Below are 13,060 nucleotides of genomic sequence, written 5' to 3'. Positions count from 1 at the left end.
TTCTCTACAAAAAAATGTTTGTAATAAATTAGCCAGCCTACTGAGGGGGCTGAGGCAAGATCTCTTGAGCCCAGGCATTCAAGGTTACAGTGAGCTGTGATCATGCCACTGCACTCCGGCTTGGGAGACAGGGCAAGACTCTGTCTCAAACAACAACAACAACAACAACAACAACAACAACAAACCCACCAGTAAATGTAAAGTGTTTTTCTGAGTTTTATGAGCTGTTTTAGCAAATTATTGAACTTGACAAGTAGCACAATCACTGGATCAGGGTCACAGGAACCCCCAATTTATAGCCAGTTGACCTTAGAAGCACAAGTGGCAGCCTGGTACTTGAAAATACCATCTACAGTGAAAGTAGTCTTGTGGGACTGAGCCTTTAAGGCTTTGCAGTCTGACACGAACTCTGGGTCGTTAGTGGCAGAACTGAACTGAATTGTAGTGACACCCACTTGGTGTTTGGAGAGCTGGAGAACCGGTTGTCAGAAGTGTTGTGAGTAAAAACAGTTCAGAGTAGCCCTCTGTGTCTGGCTGCTTTCACATAGCATCATGTTTTAGGATTCATCTGTGTGGTTGCATTTATCAGCAGTTCATTGCTTTTTATTACTGAATTGTATTCCTTTGTATGGATGAATTGTAATTTGTATATCCAGTCACCTGTTGATGAACATTTGAGTTATCTCATCTTTTGTTTATCATGAATAAAGCTGCTATAAACATTCACATAGAGATCTTTTTATAGACATATGGTTTCATTTCTCTTGTGTAAATGGCTAGGATCGGGATTGCTGGTCATATGGCAAATGCATGTTTAACTTTATATGAAACTACCAAACTATTCTTTAAGTGGCTATAATTTTGTAATTCCATTAGCAATGTGTGAGAATTCTAGGTATTCTGCATCCTTGTCAGCAGTTTATATTGTCAGTCATTTTTTTTTTTTTTTTTTTTTTTAGATGGAGTTTCGCTGTTTGTTGCCCAGGCTGGAGTGCAATGGCGTGATCTCGGCTCACTGCAACCTCCACCTCCCGGGTTCATGTGATTCTCCTGCCTCAGCCTCCCAAGTAGCTGGGATTACAGGCGCGCACCACCATGCCCAGCTGATTTTTGTATTTTTAGTAGAGACGGGGTTTCACCATGTTGGTCAGGCTGGTCATGAACTCCGGACCTTGGGTGATCCACCCGCTCGGCCTCCCAAAGTCCTGGGATTACAGGCATGAGCCACTGTGCCCGGCCTGATATTGTCAGTCTTTTTAACTTTATCATTTTAGTCAGTTGGCAGTGTGGTTTTAATTTACATTTCCCTGATGACTAATGATGTTGATCATTTTTTCATGTACTTGTCATCTGTATAATTTTGTGAACTTTCGTTTTTCAAACCTGATATTTAACAAGGTCTTAAAGATATTAAGTACCTTGAGTTTTTGTCTTTCAAACTCTTTGAGTGACTTTTTCGGGCTTATCTGACAGTGAAATGAATAATATAGTTGAAAATCGTAGGTCAGGCGCAGTGGCTCACACCTGTAATCCCAGCAGTTTCGGAGGCCAAGGGAGCCCAGGAGTTTGAGACCAGCCTGGGCAATGTGGCAAAACCCCATCTCTACAAAAAATACAAAAATTAGTCGGGTGAGGTGGCACAGACCTATAGGCACAACTACATGGGAGGCTAAGGCAGGAGGATAGCTTGAGCCCAGGAGATCGAGGCTTCAGTGAGCCAAGATTGTGCCACTGCACTCCAGCCTGGGTGACAGAGCGAGACCCTGTCTCAAAAAAATAAAAAATAGGCCAGGTGCGGTGGCTCACACCTGTAATCCCAGGACTTGGGAGGTCGAGGCAGGTGGATTACCTGAGGTCAGGGGTTCAAGACCAGCCTGACCAACATGGAGAAACCCCGCCTCTACTAAAAATACAAAATTAGCCGGGCGTGGTGGTGCATGCCAGCTACTCGGGAGGCTAAGGCAGGAGAATCACTTGAACTCCGGAGGTGAAGGTTGTGGTGAGCTGAGATTGCACCATTGCACTCCAGCCTGGGCAGCAAGAGCGAAACTCCGTTTCAAAGAAAAAGAAAAAAAAAAAATCAAATCCTTAAATGCATGGCAGTGCATTTAAATAAGTGGTTATGAAGTCTAATTGCATGGAAAGATACTTTTTTTTTTCTTTTTTTGAGACAGAGTCTCGCCCTGTCATCCAGGCTGGGGTGCAGTGAGTGGTGCGATCTCAGCTCACTGCAACCTCCACCTCCTGGGTTCAAGCGATTCTCCTGCCTCAGCCTCTCAAGTAGCTGGGATTACAGGTGTGCACCACCATGCCCTGCTAATTTTTGTATTTTTAATAGAGACGGAGTTTTGCCATGTTGGCCAGGCTGGTCTCAAATGCCTGACCTCAGGTGATCTGCCGGCCTTGGCCTCCCAAAGTGTTGGGATTACAGGTGTGAGCCACCATGCCCAGCTGGAAAGATACTTGTAAGCATAAAACAATGTTAAATGAAAAAAGCAGAACATCTGCCAGGCACGGTGGCTCACGCCTGTAATCCCAGCACTTTGGGAGGCCGAGATGGGTGGATCATGATATTAGGAGATCGAGACCATCCTGGCTAACATGGTGAAACCCCGTCTCTACTAAAAATACAAAAAATTAGCTGGGCATGGTGGCACGTGCCTGTAATCCCAGCTACTCGAGAGGCTGAGGCAGGAGAATCGATTGAACCTGGGAGGCGGAGGTTGCAGTGAAGCGAGATCACACCACTGCTCTCCAGCCTGGGCGGCAGAGCGAGACTCCATCTGAAAAAAAAAAAAAAAAAAAGAAAAAAGAAAAAAAAATGCAGAACACAAACTACAAACTAGGTGAATTCTGTATATATAATATACTTTCAGAAATAAAGGGCGATGGAAATACACACAAAATTCTAAACATACTTGAGATGATTTTTTTCCATATTCTAGTTTTCCTTGATGTGAATATGATTGTTACCTTGTCACTAATAATAAAAGAAGAAAAGTGAATAGATGTGAAATAAAAGGGTTCTAGCTAGAGACACTTGACTCCTATAAAGACGTGAATGGTTATTACAAGCACATTACTTTTTCTGCTTCTCCAAGAGTTGCATTCTGGTGAAAGAGAGGTGAGTATAACACGGAACTCAAGAACACAATGGTCTTGCCTCACTATTTTGCTGGTGCTGGACCAAAGCTGTGAAGTGTAGCATCCACAGGCCACCTGTGCCGGCCACCAGTGCCTCCTTCTTGCAGGCAGTGCTCTTGGAGACAGCATTCCTGTGGTTCCCTTCTGATCACCATTCAGCTGCAAGTGAGTATTTACCTCAGGGAGCCAGAGTGTTCAGCTGTCAGCCACTCACAGTATTGTGGTTATTCTCAACCATTATCTTACTGAGCTAAACATCTGAAATACATTGATGTCACAAAAAAGATGCTGATGTTGGCCAAAAGAGAAAGCCTACCTTTCCACATAGTCATTCAGTGGATATTATGACAGCATGTGCCAGTGCTAAGCACTGTTCTAGGCATTGAGGATTCAGCAAGGAGCAAAACCCAGCTGTCTGTATTTCATAGATTTTACCTTCTAGTAAGGAAAGACACAACAGTAAATTATAAGGAAATAAGTTTTCTGATTGAAGCAATAGATATAGGATTAACCTTTTATTCATTCATTCATCCAAACTATTTTTTGGAACAAGTTCTATATGCCTCACTTCTGGATAGGAGAGAAGTAACAGTGAACAAACAAGTTCCTAACACCTGCAGCTTCTCAGGAGTTCGAGACCAGCCTGGCCAACATGGCGAAACCCTGTCTCTATTAAAAATACAAAAATTAGCCGGGCGTGGTGGTGGGTGCCTGTAATCCCAGCTACTCGGGAGGCTGAGGCAGGAAAATCGCATGAACCCGGAGGCAGAGGTTGCAGTGAGCCAAGATCGTGCCATTGCACTCCAGTCTGGGCGACAAGAGCAAGACTCCATCTCAAAAAAGAAAAAGAAAAGAAATGCCATATTAGGCCAGGCACAGTGGCTCATGCCTGTAATCCCAACACTTTGGGAGGCCGAGGCGGGTGCATCACCTGAGGTCAGGAGTTTGAAACCAGCCTGGCTAACATGGTGAAACCCTGTCTCCACTAAAAGTACAAAAATTAGCCTGGCGTGGTGGCACATGCCTGTAATCCTGGCTTCTTGGGAGGCTGAGGCAGGAGAATCACTTGAACCTGGGAGTTGCAGATTGCAGTGGGCCAAGATCATGTCACTGCACTGTCCGGTCTGGGCAACAGAGGGAGACTCCGTCTCAAAAATTAATAAATAAAGATAATAATATAGGTTCTTGTGGAAGACAGTAGTTATACAAAGTAGTTACACAATCCTTTGTCAAAAGCCTGCGTAGTAGAGCACATCTCCCCCATGATTATTTGCTTTGTTATTTCATATATAAACAAGCATTGGACCTAAGGTGGGCACCTTCCTCCTCTTGCTTCTGGGAACTCCCTGCTCTGCCCATTGAGTAGCCATTCTTTCATTCCTTTGCTTTCTTAATAAACTTGCTTTCACTATACTCTGTGGACTACCCCCAGATTCTTTTGTAGCAGGATGAGCCGCAGACAAAACTCCTCAGACACTGGGTTAAAGAAGGAAGGAGCTTTATTCAGCTGGGAACTTTGGCAGACTTGTGTCTCAAAAGCCGAGCTCCCCAAGTGAGGAATTCCTGTCCTTTTTAAGGGCTTACAACTTTAAGGGGGAAGGTCCATGTGAGAGGGTTGTGATTGATTGAGCAAGCAGTGGGTACGGGACTGGGGGTTGCATGCACCGATAATTAGAATGGAACAGAACAGGACAGGGATTTTCACAATGCTTTTCCATACAATGTCTGGAATCTATAGATAACATAACCGGTTAGGTCAGGGGTCGATCTTTAACCAGGCCCAGGGTGCGGCAACGGGCTGTCTGCCTGTGGATTTCGTTTCTGCCTTTTAGTTTTTACTTCTCCTTTCTTTGGAGGCAGAAATTGGGCATAAGACAATGTGAGGTGTGGTCTCCTCCCTTATTCCCCCGCTTTGAGAACCTCACTCATTAATGGGAGTTTTCACTTTCATCCTCACTACCCATGTCTTCTTGCAAGATAGATTAATAGTGATTCATATAGTACAATTGTGCTGAAGTATTTTGATGGACTAAGGTAGTGACAAAACTTTTCATTACTTGAAGGAGCAAAGGCAGCACACAGGGAAGCAACAAGCAGGTTCCTGTTACTATTATAATTCCTATATAGGAGTTTTAAATCCTCCTAGTGCTGGAAACCATTTTCCAAACATGGACCTAGGATTAAACCCATGCCACACCTGCACAGGCACATGTGCCAGCTTTGTTATATCTTTAACTATATCTTCAACTACTTGCCCTTGGTCATCTATGTGCAGACAGCAATTGGTCAGGTTAAACTTTCCACAGACCCCTCCTTCAGCTGCTAGCAAGTAGTCTAGGGCTAGTCTATTTTTATGAATAGCATTTCTCTTCTGGGTTTCTTGCCAGGCTAAAACAGTTGGAGCTCTGCCAGTTTTATTAGTGATTATTTGTAAGGCAGTTTGTAACTGTATGATTTGGTTGAGCATATAAATGGAGGTTTGGTATCCCCACAAGCCATCCTGTGCCCAAGTGGCAGGTCCATGATACTGTATGATTCTTTCAGGGGGCCACTTGTCATCTTTCCAGTTGCCTATAGCTATGCTTTTTTTTTTCTCGGGAAGCATAGACAGGGAAGCCCAGGAGCTCACCTGTTTTTATGGGCAGTAGGAAAAAGGATGGTTTAATGGTGTCAATAACACAACTACCTGCCCATTGGTCAGGTAACTTGGCATAGGCTCTATGCCCACATATCCGGTATAATCCAGTGGGGGCTGTCCAGTCCCGGTGGGATGCCAGGTGGGTCCACATGGTTTGCAACTTTGGAAATTTACTAAACAGATTTTTTTCAGTGTGGTTTGAACTCCACTAAGTGGCTGTTTTTGTAGTACTATTATACAGTTTTTGCCCAAGGCAGCTGAGTCTTCCCATAGGAAGGGTGAAGTCCGTCCTCACCCTTGCTATACAGTATTGTCTAATAATTGAGGTTTTTCAGAACCCAGAAGTTGCCAGTCTTTAACTTATTTTAAAAATGGTAGTCATAGGGAGCTCAGATGGATTATAGCACACATCAGGCTGGTCAGTTCCTGGGCTACATACCTTGTATAGCATTATATAAATCAGTTCCTTTTAGAGTCCCCGTACACTTATAATAACCATAAAATAATGGGACTATAGCAACCTTTTGTCCTACCTCAGTGACTTGATGTATATACTGGGAACAGTGCTCAGTCTGAGGAAGGCCAGTCGAAGTCCTTACTGTACAAGTCCAAATTTTAAGGAAAATGAGTCCTGCGATGAGTTTCCTCATGCTTCGGCCATGCGTGGACCAGTCAGCTTCTGGGTGTGACTGGAGCAGGGCTTGTGGTCTTCTTCAGAGTCACTTTGCGAGGGTTGGCGAAGCTGCTCCTGTCCACATACAGCTCCCAGTCTACTGATGTTCAAGGATGGTCTCGGAGGTTGGGCCTGCAGAAATAAACTGAGTCCAACACCTTTTACACAGTTATGTTCAACTGGGCTCTCTGATACCGGGAGCAAGGTGGCGGGGTTCAGGGTGTTGCAAACTTCAATGATTATGCGGGAATTTTCACAGAGCAAGCTTTGGTATCTAGTTAGTCTAGCATTCGTTAGCCAATGATGTCTTTTGGTATTTATTAAAGCATGGGGGAGACTTTATGTTTAGGTTTTGCCTAAGAGTTAGCTTATCCACTTCTTGTGCTAGCAGGGGTGTTGCTGCCAAGGCCCTCAAACATGGGGGCCAACTCTTAGAAACCCCTTCTAGTTGTTTAGAGATGTAGGCCACCGGTCTCGGCCAGGGCCCCACAGTCTGGGTCAAAACTCTAACCGCCATTTTTTTTCCTCTCTCTCTAATACATATTGTGTAAAAGGTTTTGTCAGGTCAGGTAGCCCCAGGGCTGGGGCCGACATGCGTTTTTCTTTTAACTCATGAAAATATCGTCGCTGTTGGTTATAATAGATGTAGTTTATCTAATCTACATTTTTATTAACTGTCACTCACCAAAATATTGACTCAAATCCTGCAGCTATTTGATTTTGGGCTTTAAATTGTTCTGGTATTCCCCATGGGACTCCAATTGAGTCTTAATAGATGTGAGAGTAGAAAGACCCATAAGGGGCTTCTCTCACTTTATGATGTCTTATTTTTCCTCCCTCTGGTTGATGAAATGCCAGGGTGAAAGGGATAGCCAACTGGACTAAAGCATAAGTGCCACTCCAGTTATTTGGCAGAGTGCCTAGTAAAGGTCCACCACAATACCACCACACATCCGCTTGGGGATGAACAAGGGCTGATTGATACATAAGCTCTTGAAAATTCTTAAGCTCACTGCATCCCTTCAGGTCTCCAAGGAACACTAAGTTTCCTCCCTGTCATGAGAGACATGAAGCGAACTTAGTTTTGGGAGAGGGAAGCTGGATGGCCCTTGGTGGCTGACCCACAGGGTGCCGGACTTCAGGATATAGCAGAGAGAGCTTGGCATGACTTATTACTCCAGGCTGTAGAATCCTGGAAAAGAGCTACCATGCAGCCCATGCCTGGTCTACTGGAGGACCACCTTAGTGGAAAGCGGACAATCAGGGCCTCTGGCCTGCCACATGCACAAGCATAACAATCACTTTTGTTTAATGTGTGGACAGAATATTTGATCCATTCCAACCAGGCATTTGCATCTTGATATCCTGTCTTAATTGCCAAAGTTCATTTTAAGTCTTTAACTTCTATGATCCTCTAGTAAAATGAATGTATGGTTTTAGGAAATTACAAAAACTGGTTGGGGCAGTCCATCCTTGCTGTTTAGTGGTCCACAGAACGTTGGACCAACTACGGCATAAAAGCTCTAAATTGGGGGGCAAGACTCCTGGTTGTCACTGGGGTCTTTATCGAAATCTCCCTGGATTAAATGGTCCCAATTTATTAATGCCCAGTCTGAGGAGAGTCAGGAGGGACAGAGGTACTTTTCTGAAGTAGAGAGCTGTCTTTGACTTGGCAAGTCCCCACAGGGTGTAACAAGGCAAGCATTAAATGCAATAGTTTGAGATGAAATTGACTTGGTTATGTTAATAACTAGATGGTCAGCAATAGAGAGAGGAAAGAAGAAAGAGTAATAGAATAGATGAAGAAGTTAAATTTTTCTTAGCTTTAGTTTGGTAGGGTTTTCCCCTGGGACTCTGGCCCATGACTCTGGAGGGGTGGCACTTTCTTGACTCAGGTGTGATGAGTCCATCCCCTTTCCGCTGTATGAACAGTAGTCTTGGTGGTTAACAGCACAAGATAGGGTCATTCCCAGGCTGACTCGAGTTTTCCTTCTTTCCACCCTTTGGTAAGAACATGATCTTCAGGCTGGTGCTGTTTTACTGGAAATTCTAGGGGTGGTACATGTGCTAAACCAAGTATATAATTTTTAAGAAATTGACCTTTTGTTTTAAATGTGGGGACATCAGCAGTGGACTTTATAGTCCTTGGTGCCTTTTTACTGAGAAATTTCCTTTAGCACCTATTTTTATTTGTTTTCACCTATTTTTATTTGTTTTTAGACCAAAGAAAGCTAAACACCATTTTATATTTGACAACGCTTCCTGTATGTTTATACCAGATAAGCTAAATGTCACCTTTATTTGAGTGTGTTATTAATGTTAAACTTTGTTTTCTTTGTAGACATATTTATTCAATTTTTAATGTCAGACCATAAGGTAAGATTTTTATAGACTCTTTTTAACCTTTTATAATTTTTGTTAAAGAGCAGGTTAGCACTTTAAGAAAAACCCGTTGTGTTTTTTTTTAATGTTCAGTTCACAGAAAAAAAATGATACCCCTTTAACTTTAGCCAATATGTTTACACACAGAATTTCCTTTACAATTAACATTTTAAAACTTGCTTAAACCTTCAAAGCAAATTTTTTTAAACCTTTTAATGTAGGTAAAAATCCACATCCTTATGCTTCCTTTTAATCCTTTTACCAGAGGTATAGTTTACTTTTCTTATACACCTTGCACATAAACTTTTTCTCCAATAGTTTTACATTCAGGAGGCCTAATTACTTTTAAATTGTACAACATTTCTTGCATAAATTCTTTTTTTATAACTTTTTTTCATGACTTTTGCAGACAATTCTTCGACATGCCTCAACTTTCTGACTTATTACAAACATTTCTTTCTTTAAACAACCAGTTAATTTATTTTAGGACAAGAATTTACCATATAACATTTTTTTTTTTAGATAAATTCTGCCCCTTCTTTTTTCCCCCCTTTTTTTTGAAGACGATAACCATTCTTTTCCAAAGCAAGCTTCCTTTATATCTGTGGACTAGACTGTCTAAGGACACAAGATTAGAAGTTAGTATAATACATGTTACACTGTTTACATTTAGCAAACTTTACTTTTGTTGAAAACCTTGTAAGTTTGGGATTTCAATTATTCTTTGCTATTAATAAGACCTTGTTTAGTCCAAATTAACTTATAATTGGTATAGATGGCTTTTTTCTTTTTTTTTCCTTCAATTACCTGGGAGGAACCATCTATTGTCCTATCCTACAGGGAGTTCCTACTAGGTCTGGTCAACCTTGGTATGGTAATTAAGATTTAGATCCCGTTAGGAAACCTGCTGGGTTAAGGGAATTTTCAGTGGTTAATGTCTCTGTCTCTTTCCTTTCTCTCTCTCTGCTGGTCTTTCCTTGCCTCTGCCAGCTGCTTATGCTGCTGTTCTCTCAACCACTGTGGGGGGCATCTAAAACCAGCTGTAACCAAGTGTCTATGTACAGGAACTGGTCTGGGTGCCCTGGCTTACCTTGTGCCATACCTTTGAAACAAAGGACCTGTCCAGGCTTCCTTCTGATGGCCAACCCACCTCTAATGCTGGCCAGTCTATTTCACACAAAGTTCTAAGTTTTCCTGGTGTCATAGTAACACTGTAATCTCCCTTAAATCCTTTCTTGAAATTGTTCAGCATAGTTCCTAGTGGGGTGGGCTTAGTTTGTGCCTGATCCATGCTTCCTCGAGACAAAACACCACACTCACACCACTCGCACCCCACAAAACAAAGAACAAGTAAAAAGGGCACACACACACTTTTACAGTTTACACCAAACCAGAATCAAAACCAAAATCAGAGTATCAGGAAATCCAAGCCAGGCCAAAACCAAAACCAAAGTATCAAGTAATCCAAGTCAAGTAAAAAACAAAAACCAAAGTGCTGGTAGAGGCACGCCATGGGTGATCAGGCCACGCTTCCACTCAAATGGAGTGCACAAGTTCCAAAGACCAGTCTTAGCAAGTTTCAGATGTCCAGACTCCAAGTGCCAGTTCCTTCCCGGTGTTCATCCACTGTGTTGATCCTCTGCAGGGGCCTGCCACACGCTGCTCTGGCGAGGCATCCCACTGGGGCAATTGCCTACCCGGGAGTGCTGTTTGGATCTGCGTCACTCAGGCTGGTCGGAGTACCCCGTAGGGATGCTCCACAAGACAGGCCTAAGTCACCTAAGGGGCTGCCTCGACCGTCTGCCAATCACCTTGCTTCCCCATCAGGGAACCAAGAAATGTAGCAGGACAAGCCACAGACAAAACTCCTCAGACACCAGGTTAAAGAAGGAAAGAGCTTTATTCAGCCAGGAACTTCAGCAGGCTTGCTTCTCAAAAGTTGAACTTCCTGAGAGAGCAATTCCTGTCCCTTCTAAGGGCTTACACATCTAAGGGGGTCTGCATGAGAGGGTTGTGATCAATCAAGCAAGCAGTGGGTACGTGACTGGGGGTGCAGCACCGATAATCAGAATGGAACAGGACAGGGATTTTCACAATGCTTTTCCATACAATGTCTGGAATCTGTAGATAAGATAACCGGTTAAGTCAGGGGTCGATCTTTAACTACCAGGCCTAGGGCACGGCACCGGGCTGTCTGCCTGTGGATTTCATTTCTGCCTTTTAGTTTTTACTTCTTTCTTTGGAGGCAGAAATTGGGCATAAAACAATATGAGGGATGGTCTCCTCCCTTACTGTCTTTCAGGAGATCCAAGAACTCTCTTGGGGTCTGGATTGGGACCTCTTTCAGTAACAGTATTCTAGGATTGATTCTGGAACTTAAAAAGGATGTTAGGGGAAAAGCTGATCCATGGTTTAGTGTCAGGCCTCTGAGCCCAAGCCATCATATCCCCTGTGACCTGCATGTATGCATCCAGGTGGCCTGAAGTAACTGAAGAATCACAAAAGAAGTGAAAATGGCCTGTTCCTGCCTTAACTGATGACATTACCTTGTGAAATTCCTTCTCCTAGCTCATCCTGGCTCAAAAGCTCCCCCACTGAGCACCTTGTGACCCCCGCCCCTGCCTACCAGAGAACAACCTCCTTTGACTGTAATTTCCCACTACCTACCCAAATCCTATAAAACGGCCCCACCCCTATCTCCCTTTGCTGACTCTCCTTTCGGACTCAGCCCACCTGCACCCAGGTGAAATAAGCAGCCTTGTTGCTCACACAAAACCTGTTTGGTGGTCTCTTCACAGCAACGCGAATGAAATTTGGTGCCATCACTCGGATCAGGGGACCTCCCTTGGGAGATCAATCCCCTGTCCTCCTGCTCTTTGCTCCATGAGAAAGATCCACCTACGATCTCTGCTCCTCAGACCAACCAGCCCAAGGAACATCTCACCAATTTTAAATCGGGTAAGCGGCCCCTCTTTACTCTCTTCTCCAACCTCTCTCACTATCCCTCAACCTCTTTCTCCTTTCAATCTTGGTGCCATCTTTCAATCTCTCCCTTCTCTTAATTTCAGTTCCTTTCCTTTTCTGGTAGAGACAAAGGAGACATGTTTTATCCATGGACCCAAAACTCCGGTGCCAGTCACGGACTCAGGAAGACAGTCTTCCTTTGATGTTTAATCACGTGGGGATACCTGCCTGATTATTCACCCACATTTCATCAGTGTCTGATCACCGCAGGGACGCCTGCCTTGGTCATTCACCCACATTCCCTTGCTGGCAAGTCAATTGCAGGGATGCCTGCTTTGGCTGCTCACCCACATTGCAGCCCAGGGCTGCTCACCCAACCCCTTCCCGCCATGTCTCTACCCTCTCTTCTCTCCACTTTCCTGGGGGGCAAGCACCCCCCCACCCCTTCTCTCCATGTCTCTACCCTGTCTTTTCTCTGGACTTGCCTCCTTCACTATAGGCAACCTTCCACCCTCCATTCCTCCTTCTTCTCCCTTAGCCTGTGTTCTCAAGAACTTAAAACCTCTTCAACTCACACCTGACCTAAAACCTAAATGCATTATTTTCTTCTGCCATGCCACTTGACCCCAGTACAAACTCCACAGTGGTTCCAAATAGCCAGCAAATGGCACTTTTGATTTTTCCATCCTACAAGATCTAAATAATTCTTGTTGTAAAATGGGCAAATGGTCTGAGGTGCCTGACGTCCAGGCATTCTTTTACATATCGGTCCCTCCCTAGTCTCTGTTCTCAATGCAACTTGTCCCAAATCTTGCTTCTTTCCCTCCCGCCTTGTCCCCTCAGTCCCAACCCCAAGCATCGCTGAGTCTTTCCAATCTTCCTTTTCTACAGACCCATCTGACCTCTCCCCTCCTCCCCAGGCTGCTCCTCACCAGGCCGAGCTAGGTCCCAATTTTTCCTCAGCCTCCGGTCCCCCACCCTATAATCCTTTTATCACCTCCCCTCCTTACACCTGGTCTGGCTTACAGTTTCCAGTTTCGTTCTGTGACTAGCCCTCCCCAACCTGCCCAGCAATTTCCTCTTAAAAAGGTGGCTGTAGCTAAAGGCATAGTGAAGGTTAATCCTCCTTTTTCTTTATCCGATCTCTCCCAAATCAGTTAATGTTTAGGCTCTTTTTCATCAAATATAAAAACCCAGCCTAGTTCGTGGCCCGTTTGGCAGCAACCCTGAGATGCTTTACAGCCCTAGACCCTGAAAAG

General features: G+C 44.1%; 1 long non-coding RNA gene across 1 annotated transcript in view; it reads left to right on the top strand.

Moving 5' to 3' along the window:
* Window positions 1-13,060, top strand: part of LINC01356 (long intergenic non-protein coding RNA 1356) — a 30,475-nt gene that overhangs the window by 13,336 nt on the left and 4,079 nt on the right. The window contains exons 4-5 of the long non-coding RNA NR_103746.1: window positions 8,797-8,831; window positions 11,636-11,795. This is a non-coding gene — a long non-coding RNA (long intergenic non-protein coding RNA 1356). The remainder of the gene's footprint in view (window positions 1-8,796; window positions 8,832-11,635; window positions 11,796-13,060) is intronic.

The sequence above is a fragment of the Homo sapiens genome, chromosome 1 (assembly GCF_000001405.40).
Source record: "Homo sapiens chromosome 1, GRCh38.p14 Primary Assembly".
NCBI classification, from domain to species: domain Eukaryota; kingdom Metazoa; phylum Chordata; class Mammalia; order Primates; family Hominidae; genus Homo; species Homo sapiens.
The sequence above is the reverse complement of the archived record's forward strand: the minus strand, read 5'-3'. Positions and strand labels throughout refer to the sequence as shown.